Source organism: Homo sapiens, chromosome 12, assembly GCF_000001405.40.
Source record: "Homo sapiens chromosome 12, GRCh38.p14 Primary Assembly".
NCBI lineage: Eukaryota > Metazoa > Chordata > Mammalia > Primates > Hominidae > Homo > Homo sapiens.
Genome location: NC_000012.12, coordinates 60,118,772 through 60,132,752, shown reverse-complemented (window position 1 = coordinate 60,132,752; position 13,981 = coordinate 60,118,772). Strand labels below are relative to the sequence as shown.

The 13,981-nt window shown below is 34.7% G+C and overlaps 1 long non-coding RNA gene across 1 annotated transcript; it reads right to left on the bottom strand.

The window, feature by feature from the left end:
• Nucleotides 1-5,440: 5,440 nt before the first annotated feature.
• LOC124903070 (uncharacterized) lies at nucleotides 5,441-13,291 on the bottom strand. The gene is made up of 2 exons (XR_007063565.1): nucleotides 13,141-13,291; nucleotides 5,441-7,505 (listed from the first exon to the last, which is right to left on the bottom strand). It is a non-coding gene; the product is annotated as an uncharacterized LOC124903070 (long non-coding RNA).
• Nucleotides 13,292-13,981: the final 690 nt, after the last annotated feature.

Genomic DNA, 13,981 nt, shown 5'->3' with positions numbered 1-13,981 from the left:
TCTTGCATTATACTTGTCTCTGACACACAATTCTCAAATTTCTAGGGTAATAAAATAGAGCTCACATGTACCAAACTTTGGAGATTCATTAAGGCAATTAGCAATATAAATTAAACTTCAAATGCTGTAGGAACAATGCATACTTTTGTAGAATACACAGTATAATTACTTGATTTTGTTTTCCAACCTTCATTTCTGCCCTCTAAAATGTTACGTGCCTTAGATCATGAAATGAAAGGCAGGTACACTAAAAAGTAATCTCTTTACCCTGTTGGGATTTACAAGAGTTAAGAATGATATAGCTATCAGTTTCATGCCCTTTGATGTTTTTGGCATTTATTTTCTGATTCTATAGGTTTGACAATAATATGTTGTAATATTCAAACTATATTTGACTTATTGGTAGCTTTTGCTGTCTAGAGTTCTTCTTGGCTAATTCTCAATAGGGAGCCTAAACTTTGGTAAGATATACTATGACACTGATCATATTAAATAAGGCTATGCCACACAAAGCAGAATATAATTAGTTCCAAGGTGATATGGTTTGGCTCTGTGTCCCTACCCAAATCTCACCTTGAATTGTAATAATCTTCAGGTATCAAGGGTGGGACTTGGTGGAAATAATTGAATCATAGGGGTGGTTTCCCCCATGCTGTTCTCGTAATAGTTCTCACAAGATCTGATGGTTTTATAAGGGGCTTCCACTTTCACTTGGCACTCATTCTCTCTCCTGCTGCCCTGTGAAGTGGTGCTTTCTGCCATGATTTTAAGTTTCCTGTGCCCCCCCAGCTATGCAGAACTGTGAGTTAATTAAACCTCTTTTCTTTCTTTTTTTTTCCCCCACCTCCCTATCTAGTTATTGTTGTACATTTTTTTTTTTTTTTTTTTGAGCCAGAGTCTCGCTCTGTCACCCAGGCTGGAGTGCAGTGGTATGAAATTGGCTCACTGCAAACTCTGCCTCCCGGCTTCAAGCGATTCTCCTGCCTCAGCCTCCTGAGTAGCTGGGATTACAGAAGCATGCCACCACACCTGGCTAATTTTTGTATTTTTAGTAGAGACAGTTGGCTCATGCCTGTAATCCCAGCGCTTTGGGAGGCCAAGGTGGGCAGATCACGAGGTGAGGAGCTCAAGACCAGACTGACCAACATGGTAAAAGCTCTTTTCTTTATAAATTACTGAGTCCTGATTATTTATTCACAGCAGCATGAGAACAGGCTAATATACAAGGCATAGTCCAACTTGCACATTTATCATCTACTTAAACTACTGAAAAGTGCCAGACTGGTTCAAATAATCAAATCTTGCTTAAAATTTCAGTGACCTAATTTCATGGAATGGAATTGTGCTCCATCTGCTATCAGCAAAATGTCTTCAGTTGATTTACAAAATATTGATATAGCAAATACTATAACTGTTATCAGGAAGGCTCTAGGGACATTTTCTGAATTTACCCATTCTTCGTCTTGTCATTTGTACTCAGTGAGGACAGAAATAGACATAGATTTAGGGCGAATACAGAAAAACATGCAATTTCTATGACTAAGCCAAGTTTGAAGCATTTCATTTAAATCAAGTTTGACTTTTTTTAGGGTAATTAACAAATATTCAAAATGTTCTTCAAAATTCAAAGGAAAAATGTAATTCTTCTTTTCAACTGATTTTTGCCATTTTGAAATTTATACAAGTAATACTCATTGTAGAAAAATATAGCAAATCCAGGATAACAAAAGAAGGGAAAAAAGTGTGCTTATTTCTCATATCTAAGAGATGTTGTTAAAATCTGATGTATATCCAAGTAGAATTTTCTAAAAATATATTATGCAAATATTAAACATAGTGTTTTATTGGCTATAAGTTGTTCTCATTTATGGTTTATTACTATAAACAGTCTTTCAATTAACTTTCTACACATACATATTTGTCTACTGTGTGATTATTATCTAAGGATAGATTCATAAAATAGAAAACTTGGGATCAGAGGGAAAACATATTGTAAGAGTTTGATGCAAATTAGCACTTGTTAAAAATAATTAATGTGAATTTTTCAGTTCCAAAATATTTGTCATAAAAAACTAAAACTGTTTTTAAAAATTAATAAAAGTATTTGCTAAAATTTTTCCCATAATTTGTCTGGAAGAAAAATGTTTTATATACATATTTGAGAATATAGTTTTAAAAACTATTATTAGACACATTATTCTCACAAGTAGGAAACTATGAAAAAGATACATTTCATTAAAGGGGAAAATAACAATGAAAATAACATTGATTGAATGACTTATGTGAGATCGGAACAAAAATAATTGCTTTTGTATATATTGTCCTATTTCATTTAATCCTCACAATCACCACATAAAAGACACATTACAATCTTTTTTTCTCTTCTAGAAGACAGTACAACACAGTGATTTTAAATAATGATCACTGTTGACGTAACTAATGAGTAGTAGAGCAAAACGTGAACTCACATTTGTATGACCCTCCAATTTCTGGTTTCTTTATATTAATTCCACAAATTTAAATTTAAAATGATTGTTTCACTATAATAATAAAATATTTAGAAATCTTTTTTTTTTTTTTTTTTTTTTTTTTTTGAGACGGAGTCTCGCTCTGTCGCCCAGGCTGGAGTGCAGTGGCGGGATCTCGGCTCACTGCAAGCTCCGCCTCCCGGGTTCACGCCATTCTCCTGCCTCAGCCTCCCAAGTAGCTGGGACTACAGGCGCCCGCCACTACGCCCGGCTAATTTTTTGTATTTTGTATTTAGAAATCTTTTTATACAAGAAAATGGGAACTTGAGACCTATAAAGTAAAAGATTTCATAACAATAATAAAACTCCTTGCAGACGTCTAAAGGCTATTCTAAGTTAAACAGATTGACTAATATCACATTTTTTAGTCTATTGTATACAATGTCAAATGGTATACTAGTACAAGTAAAAATTAATAAATGAACACCTGGTTAAAGAATCTGGGGAAGTTTGAGTTACACAGGATAATCACATTTCTTTTAAGCATGCCTTAAGTTTAGGCTGCTATAACAGAATAGATTGCTTGTAAACAACAGAAATTTCCTTCTGACAGGTCTGGCAGCTGGAAAGTCCAAGATCAAGGTGCTGGTAGATTGGTGCCTGATGAGGGACTCCTTCTGGTTTCATAGATGTGCATTTTCTCCTTGTATCCTAATATGGCAGAAGAAGTGAGCTTTCTGAAGTCTTTTTTTATAAAGACACTAATCCCGTTCACCTGTTCACGAGGATGGACCTAATCACCTACCAAAGGACTCACCTCCTAATACTCTCATAATGGTGGACAGGATTTCAATATATGAAGTTTTAAGGAACTAAAACTTTCAGTCTATAGCAGAGCAAGACCTTATAATGCTTTTGAATTACCAGTATGCTTTGAAGATTTCAAAGTGAAGGGTACAATATGCAGAATTTCAGGAACATGTATTTTAAAGGAGGGTTGCAAGACCAATGCTCCAAAGAATATACTTTGCAAAAAGCTTTAACTATTTGGATGAATGAGGTTTACCTAAAATTACCAGGTCAAATTTCCAATCCAGAAGGAAGGGAGGAAGTGCAAAGCCATTTATGATTATTACCACCAGACTAAAGGCAAATGATCAACATGAGAACCATACCAGCTCCTGCTAGAAACTCTCTCTGATGTTGCCACACTGCTTACCTTTCTTTATATCCACAAAGAATAGTTAGCCTCTACTTAGGATACATCTACCTGCTTCTACTCAGCCTGTCCATTTCACTCTATCTATTAATTTGTTTTAGGATTGATATATCCAATAATATATTTGCTTATCCCCTGCTGTTCTCTCTCCTGCCTTTATCTTCACCTTAATCCAGAACTCCCTTTGTTTCTGTTCCCTTGGCTCCCACCTTATTGTCTCCACCCACTTGTTACCTCATTTCTGAAACATACTAAATTTCTATGTGTTTTCACCTTCCCAAATCAACACACCACAATTATATGTTTCTAATTCAATTTTTAAGAAATCTCATATACATATGCGAGATTGATAGCATCTTATCAAAGTCACCCCAAATAGGATGAAAACCATTCAATGTTAAAATAATTCTATCTCTCAACATATACCATTACTTTTGTAAACGTGTATTGTGTTTCTGGGCCTTAAAACAATGATACTAGGAAAAAGGATGAATGCCACAGGTGTTATTTACTTTACCTACGTGGGCTGAAACCATCAAGAGGTGCTTATGATTTCCATTTCTGGGAGAACTAATTTCCACACACTGTTCTTGACCAAACAGCATTAATGTTTACCACAAGAGCAGTTTTAGAAGTGTCTGGATGCATATGCTCTCCTAGCCTCAGATTAAGGACAAGGCCCACAGCTAATTTAGTGAACAGTGAGTTAGGAATCTAAAGCAAGGAAAGCTGAAGCATGGGTTGTGGGGTGAATAAAAAGACACATGACCCTTTAAACAATAGGAAGAATGCAAAAATTGTACAGTATGTCTCTCTGATTAGAGCACTAGACACATGGTAATTTATAGCTCTTTCAATGAAGGGACAGTCCACTATGTGGAACCAAAGATGTAAGGCAAGGAAAACATCTCATTAAGATCAATGGGATTTGAAAAGAAATCTACCCCTACCTTCTTTGAGTAGGTTTTGGCTGTATATGAAGCACATATGTAGAAACCCTGTAGACAATAACATTAAAATTGTATAATGTGGTTTTTAAATATCTGGCTCTGCTACTCTTCCTCATAAAGTTTAGCTAAGGTTTCTTTTTTCCTTTTGTCTTATTTACAGCATCTTAAAAATACCCTTTAAACATTTTTCAAGTTGTAAGTATTAGATCCAAGCACAGATAGTTTGCTCCAATTTTTATATGTTCTGAGTTTACTATCCAGACACTTTGCGTTTATGTGCTATTTCTTTCCGTTTTACATGAACAGACATTTTCTCCACAGAATGAATATGTAATATTTAGTTCAGTTGTTAAATACTACAAGCAAGATTTCGTAAACAAACAGTTTCAAACTACATTTATTTAAGGAGTACTTAGTTTTGTGAAAATTGCATAGGTAAAATGGGCTGTTGACATTGAAAATGTAAGGCTTTTTTGTCATGTTCAGCTTTGTTTAACTTGGTAAAAAAAAGTTTGCTTTTTTTTAGGAAAAAAAGGAAAGCATGGTTTCTTTATTTGGAAAGTTTTGTTTGTCTTTAAATTAGACACTCTTTTATACATAAATCAGAAATAACTATACAAGTTATCTATAAGGTATTATCCCACACAATTAACATAAATGTTGAAAGTATGAAATGTCAGATTAATCATATAGTATGAAATACATTTGAAAAATTTTCTTGATTAGAAAAGAGATTAAAAAACAAACCACCTGTATTAGTCCATTTTCATGCTGCTGATAAAGACATACCCAAGTCTGAGCAATTTACAAAAGAAGGAGGTTTATTGAACTTACAGCTCCACATGGCTGGGGAGGCCTCACAATTGTAGCGGAAGGTGAAAGGCATGTTTCATATGGTAGCAGACAAGAGAAGAGAGCTTGTGCAGGGAAACTCCTGTTTTTAAAAAAAATCAGATCTCGTGAGACTCATTCACTATCACAAAAACTGTGCAAGAAAGACCCACCCCCATAATTAAATTACCTCCCACCGGGTTCTTCCCATGACACATGGGAATTGTGGGAGTTATAATTCAAGATGACATTTGGGTAGGGACAAAGCCAAACCATATCATTTCACCTCTGGCCCCTCCCAAATCTCATGTTCTGACATTTCAAAACCAATCATGCCTTTCCAATGGTCCTCCAAAATCTTAACTCATTTCAGCATTATTGCAAAAGTCCCCAGTCCAACGTCTCTTCTGAGACAAGGCAAATCCCTTCCACCTATGAGCCTGTAAAATCAAAAGCAAGTTAGTTACTTGCTAGATACAATGGGGTTATAGGCATTGGGTAAATACAGCTGTTCCAAATTGAAGAAATTGGCCAAAACAAAAGGGCTACAGATTCCATGTAGGTCCAAAATTCAGAGGGGCAGTCAAATCTTAAAGCTTCAAAATGATCTACTTTGACTCCACATCTCACATCCATGTCATGCTGATGCAAGAGGTGGTTTCCTATGGTCTTGGGCAGCTCTGCCCCTGTGCCTCTGCAGGGTGCTACCTCCCTCTCAGCTGCTTTCATGGGCTGGCATTGAGGGTCTGCAGCTTTTCCAGGTAAACAGTGCAAGCTGTCAGTGGATCTAACATTCTGTAGTTTGGGGCCCTCTCCTCACAACTCCACTAGGCAGAGCCCCAGTAGGGACTCTGTGTGGGGCTCCGACCCCACATTTCCCTTCTGCACTGCCCTAGCAGAAGTTCTTCATGAGAGCACCCCCCTGCAGCAAACTTCTGCCTGGACATCCAGGCATTTCCATTCATCCTCTGAAATCTATGCAGAGGCTCCCAAACCTCAATGCTTGACTTCCATGCACTTGCAGGCTCAACACCACGTGGAAGCTGGCAAGGCTTGAGGCTTGCACCCTCTGAAGCCATGGCCTGAGCTCTACCTTGGCCCCTTTCAGCCACAGCTGGAGTGGCTGAAACATATAACACCAAGTCCCTAGACTGCACATAGCACACAGACCCTTGGCCTGGCCCACAAAACCACATTTTTATTTTAGGCCTTTGGGCCTGTAATGACAGGGGCTGTCATGAATACCTCTGACATGCCCTGGAGACCTTTACCGCTGTCTTGGGGATTAACATTTAGCTTCTCGTTAGTTATGCAAATTTCTGCAGTTGGCTTGAATTTCTCCTTAGAAAACGGGATTTTCTTTTGTATCACATTGTCAGGCTGCAAATTTTATAAACTTTTATGCTCTGCTTCCCTTATAAAACTGAATGCCTTTAATAGCACCCAAGTCACATCTTGAATGTTTTGCTGCTTAGAAATTTCTTCTGCATGATACCCTAAATCATCTCTCTCAAGTTAAAAATATTACAACTCTCTAGGGCAGGGGCAAAATGCCACCAATCTCTTTGATACAATATAACAAGAGTCACCTTTGCTCCAGTTACCAGCAAGCCTCACATTTCCATCTGAGACAACCTCAGCTTGGAGTTTATTGTCCATATCACTGTCAGCATCTTGGGCAAAGCCATTCCATAACTCGTAACTCTCTAGGCAGTTCCAAACTTCCCCATAATTTCCTGTCTTCTTCTGAGCCTTCCAAACTGTCCCAACCTCTGCCTGCTACCCAGTTCCAATGTCACTTCCACATTTTCAGGTATCTTTTCAGCAATGCCTCCTCTACTATTACCAATTTACTGTATTAGTCTGTTTTCACGCTGCTTATAAAAGCATACCCAAGACTGGGCAATTTACAAAAGAAAGAGGTTTATTGGACTTACAGTTCCACATGGCTTGGGAGGCCTCACAATCAGGGCAGAAGGTGAAAGGCACATCTTGTATGGCAGCAGACAAGAGCAGAGAGCTTGTGCAGGGAAACTCCTGTTTTTAAAACCATCAGATCTCATGAGAGTCATTCATTATGAGAACAACATAGAAAAGAGCCACCCCCATAATTCAATCACCTCCAACCTGGTTCCTCCCACTACATGTGGGAATTATGGGATTACAATTTAAGATGTGATTTGGGCGTGGACACAGCCCAACCATATCACCACCTATACTGAGATAAAAAGAAAATTGAATTAAAAAAAGAAAACTGCACAGTAAGAGCTATTGGCAATAAACTCAAATTTAGGGACCTAAAAACCTGTTAATAAAGCTGAATAAATGTTCCTCTATATGACGAAATTGTTTCAAATACTAATCTATATGAAATGAAATCAAAGTGGTCAAAAATGAAACACAGAAGTAAAAGTGTTTTATTATACTTCAAAAATATAATCATGCTAGTAAAAATAAATAAAATAGGAAATAGAGAAATTACCATTACAAAAAAGGAAAAATGATGTGCTAATAATTTTATTAATATATTTTTAAATAAAGGAAACATATGTATACTTAAAACCATCAGGCTAATAATAGTATTATATTTCTGTTTTCAAGCCTTCAGTTTGTGAAGTCGTCAATGGCTTTATCAAAATTTTTCTTTGAATATTCATTTTCAAAGATTGTACACCCAAATTTTTCAATCTGCTTTCATGTGTAGTTGATCAAAGAATGATTTTATAAACTTTACTTTTGAAAACTTTTTTAACGTAAATAAAAGATATACCCAAAGGGAAAATCTTATAAATAAAGAATGTGTTTGGTTTAAATAAAAATCCAACTCTCAATACAATGCAGAATTTGTTTTTACATTCAAGTGATCACATAGAAGGATTGCAGAAACTTGAGTTCTGCTTCTTTGTGTTTTAAATTGCCATTTTATCATAGTTTATTCCAAATTACCATTTAAAAGCAGGATGTTTAAATGGTAATTTTATACCATTTTAAATGGTAAAATGGTACCACAATGGTTGGAGACACATACTGTGCCCAAAGTAAACTTAAACAAATCTGAAATTATTCTTCATGCAGATGCCTAGAGTTGAGTGTATATGACTATATAACTGGGAATTTTCTGAATTAACTTTGATGTGTAATACAATGATCATTAAAGGATTAGCAATAAAGTTTTTCTAATTTGAAATATATATAGTATTGAATCCAGTATTCAAACCCAAATCTACCTGACTCTCAAATCTATAAAATGCAAAGCAATGTAAAGGACGTTTATACAGCGTTGAAAATATAAAAAAGCATAAAATATTTTGGAAACCATAAGTAACAATTCAAAGTTATGGGTATCTAGGGATTACTGAAAGACTATGGTATGAGAAAGGGCTAGAATGGCAAATTGGATCCATGCTACAAAGAGGATTGGAAATACTTGGTGAGTCATTAAAGGTCTTTAATTAGGTGAGAGGGCAGATTTGTGTTTATAAAGAATCCTGGCAGAAGAATGGAAATAGATTGCAACAGAAATACTAGAAGTGAAAAAGATATTAATATGCTTTTACAACAGACTGTTGAAGACATGATAAAAACGTCAAATCATGGTAATGATAGAGAGAAGATGGTGAGAGGTTTTAGTGAGGTGAGTCATGAGGGAGAGGGAAGTGTTTATTCTCTTGTTCTGTATAAATACTTATGGGTGTGCCTCATATAACCTCAGTGCCATTATCAATAAATCTAAAAACATCAGCGAGAGACAATTTGGCTTTTTTTTCTCTAAAAGCTGATGGCCAATATGACAGTAGTTTGACACAGTCCTGCAATGTGGATAAGAATTACCTATATAGAGATTTTCAGCAGCCAGAAAACTAGTAGGAAGCTCAATGTAATTTTTTAAATAAAATAAACAAAATTAGTATCTAAGTTTTTGGTTTGAAATGTATCTCTTCAATCTTTATCTGACATAGCAGTTTTGAAGGATTTATTACTTTTACCTATAGTTCTTAACTAATACTTAAAATATTCCCTCTTGCCTTCTAGAAAATCATGTGTCCCTGATTTTTCACTCACCCATTGTTTATTATTTCTCTTTCTCAGTAATAGACTCAACATTTTTTTGCTTTCACTTCGTATAGAGATCCCAATCCTAGATGGTCCATTCTTCTTCATCTGTCTACTTTCATGGTGACCACCCAAACACTAATGGTCTCAATGTATACCTATATAAATTGTTACTCAAGTCTATCTTTCTAACTTAGAAATATATGTTAAAGTCCGATTTCCTATTTAACACATCTGCTTGTAAATTCTATAAGTCATTAGCTATATGCTCATTAACTCTATTTTTTCCTCTAGTCCTGCATCTTTATTCCATGTACTGAATATTTAGGCTATATTCTAACACTAATATATCTGTTTTGTAAGCAAAATAGATCTGTTTTGGGAGATCGATTATGGGAGGTTGTGTTTCACAAACAATATTTTGATACCACACCAAAAACATGATCCATAAAAAATGATAAATGCCATTTAATCAATATTTAAAATTTGGCTCCTGGAGACATTATTAAGAGAATTAAAAGATAAGCCACAGTTTGGGAGAAAATAACTGCATATCTCACATATGATAAAGGGCATTTTTTCCTCAAAATATGTGAAGAACTCTTAAAATTCACAATGAGAAAATTATTATTTTAAAAAAATAAGAAAACATCTGTAAAGTCAGTTCACCAACAGAAGAAAAACAGATGGTAAATATGAATATGAAAAGATGTTCAACATCATTAGTCACTATGGGAATGCAAATTAAAAACACAATAAGATACTACTATACGTCTATTAGAATGGCTAAAATAAAAAAATACTAATAGCTGATGAGGAAGTTGGACAATTGGAACTCTCATCCATTTCTAGTGGTAATGCAGAATAATACAACTATTTTGGAAATCTACCTAGGAGTAAAATTTATTACCAAATTACCATAAGACCCAGCATTCTCACCTTAGGCATTTATCCAAATGGATTGACAACTTATTTTCTCCACTTCTTTCCCCAAACCAAAATCTATTATCTATCTATCTCCATAATTTTATAGTAGTCATTCATATCAACAAAACCTGATGCCAATTTAGATGTTCTTCAAAAGGTAAATGGATAAACAAAATATACTATAACCATACAGTGGCATACTTCTCAGCAATAAAAAAGAATGCACTATTGACCAATGCAAAAATTTGGATGAAACTCATCTGCTTTTTAAGTGAGAGAAGCTAGTTCCACAAGTTTCAATACTATAGTATTTTTTACAAAAAAGAAGTAGACACAGAAAACTGAGACCATGTTATCCAGGGACATATATTCAAAAGTCTGCAAGGGATACTAATCTACTAATACATATATAAAGCAGGTGCTGAACTGATAGTATTATAACCCAATTTTTGTAAGTGTCATCCTCTTCCAAAACACAATCTAGACATTAACAACAACAGCAAAGGCATGTTTAATAAATCGACTCCCATACACAAATTTGGATGCAGTTTGGCTCCTAATCTAGCCTAGAGAAGGAAAAACTTACTCATAGCTCACCTACTGGAAGGGATACTAACTTCAGAACATGGTTTTACATTTCCGTTCAGGTCAACATATAAATAAAATTATGAAAATGTTTATGGGGAAACATTTCTCTAAAACACTAGTACCAGGTTTAGTTATCAAAGGATATTACAGAGCTTTTCCCCTGAAACTTTTATAGCTATTTGAATACATAGTTTCTAAGCCGAACTCAGAAATCTCTACATGGTCATTTTAGCCTTCTGTGAATCTGATGATTGTGAGGGTCTACTGTGCATACTTAGTTGTTTAACCTAAATCAATTCTAATATTGAATTTCTTTAAATATGCAACATGCAAGTCAGCATCAAAATCAATAGCACTGGCTCCTCATTGTCACCTGCCAAGGAAACATTTATGAAATACAGCCCAACACTCATTCTCTCCTTCATTCACAGTCACTAGTATTCTGCACATAACATTCACCCTATCACTCTGAATAAATGTGTGCTATTCAAGTGATAATTTTTCAAGTGTGAGATCAGTTTGGATTTGACAATTAAAGAAATGTGCAATCTTTCTGAAAATAAAATAAGGCCAAACTTTTCTGTTTTCTATTTATCTACAAAATGATCATGCATAGGGGTAATTCGAGTGAAGGAGCATCATTCATAAAACCTAGATTTAATCCAAACCATAAAACATTTTTAATGCATCACATCAAAATATCAAAGTAACAAGTAATAGCCTAGGTTTCTGAAAATATTTGACTTTCAGGAGGACAGCCAGGGTACACAGAATGATTATACAAACATTGTAGCAATACGCTATTCTATGTTTTTCCTCTCTTCAATGTGACTGGCAAAGCAATTGGTGAATGTATTCACCATGCAGTGATCAGACTCTTTGCATAGGACTGAAATAGCATCATCTACAATGCATGGTTATTTGAGCTAAGTGTTCAAATTATTGATTCTTTGAGTAATAACTATCAAGATAATAGACAGAATTTAGTTTTAAAACTATACGTTATATGAATATCTTAAACATCATATGAATTATTTTTTCCTAAATAATTTTTCTGTTTTTTCTTTTTAAAACCTTAGTGTGTTTATTTTTACTCTGGGTGTTCAAAGTAAACAACAAACATAAAACGAAAATAACTATACTTGGTGGCATTGCAGTGAGTTTGCATTATCAGAAAGTAAGTTATTTCACAAAGAAAATCGATGAAATTCAATAAAATATGACACAATTCCTATATTAACTTTAATGAAGCTCTCCTGGAGCTAGACGCTTGGAGAGTTTTAAAAGCAGGTAGCTTGGATGCCAGCTGGAGTTTTCTCAGCTCAGTCAGATTAAGCAAAGAACACTTGTTCAGCTTTATTAACACACACAATTTAGCAGAGTAACAGTCAGGCTTCTCTATTTCATGGGTTGGTTGCTTACTGGTAATATCATTCCTGGGAGAATTCAGGACTTTTAATTACGCTGTGAATAGTTTACAGTATTGAGCTACGAAATGGAAATTAAACTAAGGACATTTTATTTGTGAACTGGTTAATTAAATAGCAGACAAAAGCAAGCTACACTTGTATAAAACCTCAGCAGATTTGGTTTGCCAGCCATGTGTAAAAATATTTTTTTCTTTTTAATTTCAATTAGTAGCCCACTGCACTGAACTGAAACTGAGTCAAAAATGGGTTTTGAACTTCTACGTAGTCACATAACATGAACCAGACTTTAAGCGCTCATTAGATATTCACAACCCTCAGTAAATCCACTCTACCTTTTCAAGTTTATATTAAATGGATAAATTATGACTCGAAAAATACAGCTCATTGCTAACTCACAACATATCTAAAATAATATAAAAGGAGGAGGTGTTTGCATGAAGCAATACAATTTTACAGAATTGATGGAAAAGCTACTTTCCAGTATTAGACAATAATAATGAAATTCTTAAAATCTGATAATTAACAATATAGCTCTGAATAATCTCACATACATTTAAAGAAAATTGTTAGACCTCTGCTGTATACCATGAGTCATACTAGATGTTGTAGATAAGTAAGATTTAATTTATTTTCTTAAGGTTCTTTTCCAAATAAAAATCTGATCATTTACTGACCTGGTTTAGTGTCCTTCATTGACCTCTCATTGAGATAATGATCAAAATCTTTCACAAGGTTTAAAAGACTCTGGAAGATCCTTGCTCTATCCATATACAAGGCCTTGCTTGAATCACCTTCCTTCGGTGTTCTCAGGTCTGGCCACGTGGCCTTTCATTTCATCAAATGTGATAGCCTCCTTCCTGTCTCAGAGCCTTTGCTGAGTCTCTTCCTTTTCCTCCAAAAACTCCCTGCTCCCACTTCAACTTGTTTCCCTGTATTTATTCTTTATAGTTGACTACAAATGACAGTTTATTTAGGAAACCTTCATGGGCCTCCCCCAGATTAAAATCCCATTAACTCTTTCTAAGAAGGGAATATTCAATATTGTTGCTGTTGAGCAGGTAATTGTGTATATGACTATAAAGCTCCGGGAATAAGTTTGAGGTGGAAAGATCAACCTGGGAGTCAGATTTATCTCATTTATTTAAATACAGATGAATTAATATTTAAATGAATGTCAAGCCCAGAAGCTAAATGATAGCATCACAAGGAAGTATTCAGTTTGCCAATTTTTTCCTTTTAACTGACCAGCTTAGTACATTTCTATTAATTATTTAGATCTGCTTCAGTAACATATTTTGTTATATCAGCTTATTCTGGTCTTTTGTTTATTTTAATCCTTCCTTCCTTAAAAATAAAACAGTACTTTTACTTTCAACTTAAGAATAAAATAACTTCACCACATTATTAAAACTCTTGATAACTTCCCAACTTCATTATTAATATTGCATAGATTTATAAGACTAGGTTATGAAAGATGATAAATAGATAAAATTAATTAGATAGATAATAGATTAA